Consider the following 9,104-nt stretch of genomic DNA (forward strand, 5'->3'; position numbering starts at 1 on the left):
TCCTTGAACCATTTCTTACTCTATTTTTTTGAATACGTTGGTAAAGAGATGGAAATGGATCCCTTTAGAAAGGGCAAAAATGATTTGTGGAAAATATATAAAGAGGTGGGAATGGACATTCCAAACATCTCTAGTCAGTTTATATATTATGTTCTTTTTAAAAGGACAGAAAAATCTTCTTTGGAAGAGAGTGGATCATTCAAATATGGTCAATAGCCCTATGATTTTATTATCAAATTTGAGTGTCTCAGAAAGTGTGAAAACCCATGGGCTAGAAGAGGGAGAGGTCAGAAGCTTCTTGTTATCTGTACCAATCTTTCGTCCTTGTCTTCACTACATGTCACCACTGAAAGCAGCAAGGGACCCTCATTGTCTCAAGGCAAAAATCTATGAAAATCAATTGTTATATTTAATGCTCATTTAAGATGTAAATAATGTCATTGATTTTTTCTTAATATTCTTTATTTTAAAATTGTGTTTATAAAAGTTCTCTCTCGTATCTATGTGTTTCTCTATCTGTAGGTTTCAAAGTTTTCAGTTTAATCAAGTTCTCCCAACCCTGAGTCCATAAAGTCTGACATTACTCAACCTTACATCTTCAATCATAATTGTTATGAGGTGTCTAAACTACCCTATATTGCTTTGTAAACACTCTCAAGGGTTTAATGGATAGTTCAATTAACCAGATTATACCTTAAGCATGTTTGAACTGAAGGGAGTTATCCAGTCTTCAAGTATACATCCCTCCTCTCAAGTCTTTTACCCCCTAGACACAATGTTACATGGAACATCAATGTAACCAATGTATCACCAAGTAAGCATATAATTACTTTTTCTGAAGCAAGGAGAAAGGACTTGGGACCCTGCCTATTTGGTTTTGACCTTCTCATCCTCTTTTCTCAAGGACTGCCTTGCAGTTTAAGGCTGTTCACGACCCCTTAGGAAAGCACAAATCTGTTTCAAACCATTCATTTCACTAGTGAGGAATCTATAATCCAAAAGAGTTGATTCTTGTAACATCTCACAGACAGTGTTCACCAAAACTAAGACTTTCATTCAGGGGTTCTAAAGTCAAATCTTGGCTTTTTCAACTATAAGATCCTGGATGTAGAAACCATGGTTTTTTGAATTTATTTTTAGTCTTCTTGCTCATTCAAATCAAATTGTGAGTATGACATAGGCTATTTATTAATTAGATGGGTGTGTTTATCAAATTGGACAGAGCTGAGTGAACCGTTAGTGTTGGGGATTTAAAGTTTAAGTAAACAACAAAGGTATGAATGGAATTGGGGGATTGACCCTAAAGCAAGGAGAGGGGCTGATTGTAAACGTCTCGTGCCAATATTTCTCAGAACGGTACTAGCATTGCCTAGATTCATGACGATGCACTATGTTCCCAATAAAATAGTTTCCAAAATATTATATTGCTCATTCTGAGGTATTTCTTTGTAATATAACTTAATTATACTATCTAAAGTAATAAGAATGCCAATAATGTCAGACATACTCATATCCAAAAATAAATACAAAACATTTTAAACTCAAGTTTACATGCCTTTTGGATTACCTACTATTTTGGGATTATTTTTGGATTGTTTCTCCTCATTAACACTAATGATTAAGGACTAATGATAAAATTAGCTGATGGGAGAACATCACATGTCATAATAAATTCTTTCTGTCTTTTGTAATAAAGACCACACTCAAATGTTAACTTGTTGAAAAGTAGAAATTATAGAAAACCACAATTACATTTCACCAGAAAAGGAATGTAGATGCTCATGTTTTGCACATCTAAATCCAAATGCCTTAAAAAAGCAGTCATACATAAATATACCAAAAACATTTTAAACCTAGTAATATAAATATTTATTGGCCCAAACAATTGATTTTATCTAACCTTTTCAGGTGTTAGAATTGTAAATATTTTGCAATTACCATAGCACCATTTGGAAATCAATTTGGATTATTACTATTGAAGCCACGTGTTTTGGATTTTCAAGAAGAGTTCTGACTTCCAGGGCAGTCCTGATTGCCAATATCCTGTCCTGTTATTAGGCCATGTGTTCCACGAATGTTTACTATTTTTTTTAAGGAAAATATTCACTAAGCTCCCAGTTAAGTTGTTTGGATAACAGATCATCATTCCCATTCTCCCATCTTGGAAGTTCACTCAAGCCAGAGTTTATCCCAAAGCTCTAATACTCCCCCAAAGAAAGTGAGGAGGACAACCTGAACATTCTAATCCATTGTGGGAGAAATATGAGACCTCTATTTCAAACTATAACAACCTCAGCGACTCAGGATTCCACAGGGTAAGAGCAGCAGACGCAGACCCATTTTCAAACCAAAGCTTGCCCTTTTTTGAAGATAAGTTGTCAGGCTGACTTTGGTCTTTCATGGACCCAAATCCCTGGGATGGTGCTAGAAGCCATTTGGGTGCTCTAGGAGAGGCTTGTTAGTGCTTCCACGCCCCATCCCCCACTTTTGTAGATAAACTGCACACAAAGACTGCAGATTCCAAACTCTATGGTTTGATGAATGTCATGCAGCTGGAAAGCATAAGGGAGGTCAGAGTTGGTTGCCATTGTGCTAAGGTTGTCCTATTTTCATGTAAGCAAAAAAGATGACTAGGAAAATATAAAACTATTGTTCACGCAGAACTAATGCTAACTAATGAAACTTCTTTAATAAATAACAGAACTTGTCAGTGGTAAAAGTCTCATCTGGCAGTTCACATGACTTTAAATACTGTTTAGCCACCCACATGTCATAAGCAATATCAGTAGATGAGAAAAATGGTGGCATCTGTTTTTCTTAATATATGTGTGCATCTATGTATGTGTGTATGTGCATGTCTCTATCTTTAATCCATTTAGAAACTAATGAGTATAAATTTACTGTAAGTAAAGCACTTAAATTATTACTTTTAGAAGCAAGGTCTCATTCTAGGTTGGCCAAGCTGGAGTGTAGTGGCTGTCATCATTATAATTCACTGCAGCCTCAAATTCCTGGCCTCAAATGATTCTCCCACCTCAGCCTCCCAAGTCATTGGAATTATAGGTATGAATCACCATGCCTGCCTCCTAAATGAATTTGTTTTTAAACTTCACCAGACAACACAGGGGGAAATAAACAATCCTAGAGTTCAAATACTTGCTTGATTTGGAGTATTTTCCACATATGTTAAATTTGTCTTCACCTTGATATATTAGTCCATTCTCACATTGCTATAAAGAAATACCTGAGACTGGGTCATTTATAAAGAAAAGAGGTGTAATTTGCTCATGATTCCACAGGCTGTACAGAAAGCATGACGCTGGCATCTGCTCGGCTTCTGCAAAGGCCTCGTGTCACTTACAATTGTGGCAGGAGGTGAAGGAGAAACACACACATCACATGTTTGGAATAGGAGCAAGAGGGTGGGGGGAAGGTGCTACACACTTTCATACAACAAGATCTCATGATAACTCACTTGTACACCGTCATGAGAACAGCACCAAGGAGATGGTGCTAAACCATTCAGGAAGGACCAACTTCATGATCCAATCACCTCCCATCAAGACCCACAACCAACACTGAGGATTACCATTTGACATGAGATTTGGGTGGGGACACAAATCCAAACCCTATCACTTGGTGAGTATCAAGTAGTGGGAATGCCACTGGATGGGATCTTGGTGGATGAACGGTTACTTCCTCCATAAGTTAGCCATTCTCAAAGGTGCTCTAACTGTTACAGAATCCTCAAGTACCCTTTTAACAAGCTTTCCCAAGTGGTCTCACGATCCTAAAGCTTTAGGACCCAATTAGCAGAATTTATCTTGGGCTGTGACTATGCAGCTGGTTACACAGCTGGGAAACCAGACAAAAGAACAGTCAATCAATTCATTTTGGCTATTTCCATGATTACCAGTAATTGCTCCAGCTGTACTAATGTATAGTGATCAATATTCATTGTAAAGAGGCAAAAATGGACAGCATGGATGCCCCTTTGTCATTTTATTTCACACATGTTGTCCTGGCACATATACATAGAATGATTCATTCAACTGGCAGCACCTAGCTTCTAATTCTCCCCTTGCAGAATGCCACTATTGACTATCAATGACTATTAAAAACAAAGCAAAACAAAACACTCTAACAACTGGGTGCCTTAATTAACTCAAAAAATAGTTTGGAGGATAGATGGATGGATAGAGAGGATGGCAAAATGCCAGTGGTCCAACATCTGCAGCGTTTAGATACTCAAAGTTGCATCCCAGCAGGTCAGTTGAGTCCTTGAATCTACCCAAAAAGTTGGATGATAAGATAACTAAGAAAGTGAGCTACAGCGAGGACTCCAAGGAATCCCAAATATCATAGGACAACGAGAGATGCCATCTTACTCTTATCCTTGGGCTTACGTCAACTGTACTCCTGAAGGAGAACTACCCTTTCTGTGTCTCCTTTGTCCATACTGAACAAGTTTCTTAGAGATGGCTTTCAAAAGTTTGCATGAAGTATCAGCCTCAAAAATGTTGAGGCCAATTGAGACCATTGCCAGGCCACTCAGAGGTTTCCAATTTTTTTTATTTTTTTGCAGAGGAGGGGACCAAAAAGGGAAGAAGGGCATCTCCTGGGGACCCTGGCAATTGGCCTTGAAATCTGAGCCCATTTTTATTCTTTCTTTGAGAAAACCAAAGAGTTTTTGCTAGCATGATTCTTTGTCTCTTATCTAAGGGCTTTTGGCTCTATTGAATGAAAGATTAAATTTCTATCAGAACATTTTAAAAATTAGGTGATCGAAAGAATGAGTGAATGATATCAGACATATGTATAATCAAAATTCTCTCTATAGGTAGAAATATGGAAAGTTTTTGGTTTGAATTTCCTTTTTAAAATAAAACATTAATTCAATTAAATGTCATAATTGTATCTAGAGAGCAAAACACAAACGCTTAGCCATGCCAAATCTCCTTTTTATGAATTGTCTTCACTGTCTAACATTCAGCTGCTAATATATTTTTCTCCCCTAACTGAGCTCCGCTCAACAGCATTAGGTTTAGGCTTTAACTTTTACCTGGACTCAGTGTATGTTCTAAATCAATCATTTTATCACCTGAGGCTTCAGTTATTTTGTTAATAACAAAGGTTTAACCTAGCCTTCTCCAGATGCTAGGAGACTTTAGACTAGAAATTACTTATAAGGTGGGGGCATAGTAATTAATTTTGTGTTAAGAGCTCTTGAGACATGGCTCTTTACTTCACACTCTCACCTCTTCATAATGGAAATTTTCTTCCACTATAGAATGGAGGCCATGTAACACCAGGTATTCTCAGCAAATTACTATCTGATTCAATTTAACAAGAATGCAATTGGTTATAAGAGAAATGCATAATATTAATCCTCATTATTACATAAAGCTTTCTTTCTTATGACTTACTTTCACATATGTTATCTTATCTTTATGCTCACAATACCTTATAAGCTACTAATTAGGTAATGCTCTATGATTTGCACCCTTACGGAGTTTTTAGGCTTTCAATTACAGGACTGGCCCAGGTTCTACTTGATCAATTTTTCTTAGTATGGTGTTTTCAGAAAAGCTGGTGTTTGGCTCTAGTTGTGAACTCAAAGAGGAGCAGCAGAGCAGGTTTTGTGAATAAGCCTGGGTGTAGGCCTGGCACAACTTCTTGGGAAATTTAAAGGAGAAAGTAACTTTTTCTCTCCAGATTTTAGCTTCATTAGTTGGAAAATAAAGGCATTTGTCCTAATGATCCAAAACTCCCTTCTAGCGCTTTGTGATTCTTTGGAACTGATGGCAGAGCATAATTTAAATTATGTGTATTGGCCAGGTACGGTGGCTCATGCCTGTAATCCCAACACTTTGGGAGGATTAGCAAGAGGATCACTTGGGTCCAGGAGTTTGAGACTGGCCTGGGTGTCATAGTGAGATCCTGTCTCCATTAAAAAAAAAAAATCAAAAAAATTAACTGGGCATAGTGGTGCATGCCTGTAGTCCCAGCTAGCTGGGAGGCTAAGGTGGGAGGATCACTGAAGCCTGAGAGGTTAAGGCTTCAGTGAGCAGTGATTTTGCCACTGCACTCCAGCCTGGGAAACAGAGTAGACCTTTTCTCAAAAAATGAATAAATTAATTTTAGGTACTGAATTTTCAAATTATTTCAAATACTGATCATATTTCACTTTTAAATTATTAATACTAATGACTTCCATTGCAGCTAAATCCTTGGCATGTTCCTGGCCCTTGGTTTGATTCATGTCACTCCAGATGGGGTAATAAACAGAAAATCTGGGAGTCTGAGCTGAATGTACCAGGATGCAGAAAGGTCTTTTGGTTGGAAGACTATTATTAATATTAATTGGGGACAGGGCATTGCCTTTTAACTCTGTGTGAAACACAATGTTAAGGATTTCATACACTTTATCTCATTTAATTCTTTAGATAACTCTCCAATGTGCTTGTCAATATTTCCATTGTATGGGGAAACAGAAGCTCAGAAAATTTAGATTACTTGTCAAAAACCACACAGATAATGAGTGATGGATCTAGGGTTCAAACTTATGTGTGACTGATTCTAAAGTCAATATTCTTTATGATTACCTACCACTGCCTACTTAGAAATTGAAAGGCACACACAAATGCACATGTATACACACACATATATACACATATATGTACTCCAGAAAATGTGTCTGCATAGAAGTAAATAAATGCTTAATTGAGAAATGGGTTGCATATATGAATGCAGGTGACAGTGTTTCTGTGGGTGACCTGGTCTGTACTGGTTTTAAAGGGTCTAAACAAAGTTGTATGAACCTAACCCTCCCGTCCAGGTGCCAATGAGTCTGTATTAGTCTGTTCTCATGCTGGTAATAAAGACATACCAGATACTGGGTAATTTATAAAGAAAAAGAAGTTTAATGGACTCACAGTTCTACATGGTTGGGGAGGCCTCACAATCATGGCAGAAGGCAAAGAAAAAGCAAAGGCATGTCTTGCATGGTGGCAGGCAAGAGAGCATGTGCAGAGGAACTGCCCTTTGTAAAACCATCAGATCTCATGAGACTTATTCACTATCATGAGAACAGCATGGGAAAAACCCATTCCCATGATTTAATTACCTCCTACTGGGTCCCTCCCATGACACGTGGGGATTATGCAAGTTACAATACAAGATGAGATTTGAGTGGGGATACAGCCAAACCATATTATGCTGCCCCTGGCCCATCCCAAATCTCATGTCTTCAAATTTCAAAACCAATCATGCCTTCCCAACAGTCCCCCAAAGTCATAACTCATTTCAGCATTAACTTAAAAGTCCACAGTCCAAAGTCTCATCTGAGACAGGCTCCCTTCCACCAATAAGCCTGTAATATCAAGAGCAAGTTAGTTACTTCCTGGATACAGTGGGGGAACAGGCATTGGGTAAATACACTCATTCCAAATGGGAGAAATTGGTGGAAAAAAAGGGTTTAAAGGCTCCATGCAAGTCCGAAATCGAATACGGCAGTCATTAAACCTTAAAGATCCAAAAAGATCTCCATTGACTCCATGTCTCACATCTGGTTCATGCTGATGCAAGAGGTTGGCTCCCACGGCCTTGGGCAGTTCCATCCTTGTGGCTCTCTGGGGTACAGCCCTTTTCCTTGCTGCTTTCATGGCCTGGCATTGAGTGTCTTCAGCTTTTCCAGGCACACAGCGCAAACTGTCAGTGGATCTACCATTCTGGGGTCTAAAGGATGATGGGCCTCTTCTCACAGATCGACTAGGCAGTGCCCCAGTGGGGACTCTGTGTGGGGGCTCCAATCCCACATTTCCCTTCTGCACTGCCCTAGCAGAGGTTCTCCATGAGGGCACCACCACTGCAGCAAAATTTTACCTAGACACCCAGGCATTTCCATACATCCTCTAAAATCTAGGTGGAGGTTCGTAAACCTCAATTTTTGGCTTCTGTTTGCAACTGCAGGCTCAACACCACGCGGAAACTGCCAAGGCTTGGGGCTTGCACCCTCTGAACCCACTACCTGAGCTGTACTTTGGCCCCTTTTAGCCACAGCTGGAGTGGCTGGGACACAGCGCATCAGGTACTTAGGCTGCACACAGCAGGAGGGCCCTGGGCCTGGCCCACAAAACCATTTTGTCCTCCCAGTCCTCTGGGCCTGTTATGAGAGGGGCTGCCATGAAGGTCTCTGACGTCTCCTGGAGACATCATCCCCATTGTGTTGGTGACTAACATTCAGCTCCTTGTTACTTATGCAGTTTTCTGCAGCAGGCTTGAATTTCTCCCCAGAAAATGGGTTTTTCTACTCTATTGCATCATCAGGCTGCAAGTTTTCCTTTCTTTTATGTTCTGCTTCCTCTCAAATGCTTTGCCACTTAGAAATTTCTTCTGCCAGATACCCTAAATCATCTTTCTTAAGTTCAAAGTTCCACAGATCTCTAGGGTGGGAGCAAAATGCTGCCAGTCTCTTTGCATAACAAGTGTCACCTTTGCGGCAGTTCCCAACCAGTTCCTCATCTCCATCTGAGACCACCTCAGCCCGGACTTTATTGTCCATATCATTATCAGCATTTTTGTCAAAGCTATTCAAAAAGTCTCCAGGAATTTCCAAACTGTCCCACATCTTCCTGTCTTCTGAGCTCTTCAAATCTCTAGGAAGTTCCAAACTTTTCCACATTTTCCTGTCTTCTTCTAAGCCCTCCAAACTGTTCTAATCTCTGCCTGTCACCCAGTTCCAAAGTCGCTTAAACATTTTTGGGTATCTTTACAGCAGTGCCCCACTCTCTGTGGTACCAATTTACTGTATTAGTTCATTCTCACACTTCTAATAAAGACATACCTAAGACCGGGTCGTTTATAATGAAAAAGAGGTTTAATGAACTCACAGTTTCATATGGCTGGTGTATTAGTCCATTTTCATGCTGCTTATAAAGACATAACTGAGACTGGGCAAGTAACAGAAGAAAGAGGTTTATTGGACTTATGGTTCCACGTGGCTGGGAGGCCTCACAATCATGGCAGAAGGTAAAAGGTGCATCTCACATGGCAGCAGACAAGAGAAGAGAGCTTGTGCAGGGAGACTCCCATTTTTAAAACCA

The sequence above is a fragment of the Homo sapiens genome, chromosome 2 (genome assembly GCF_000001405.40).
Source record: "Homo sapiens chromosome 2, GRCh38.p14 Primary Assembly".
NCBI lineage: Eukaryota > Metazoa > Chordata > Mammalia > Primates > Hominidae > Homo > Homo sapiens.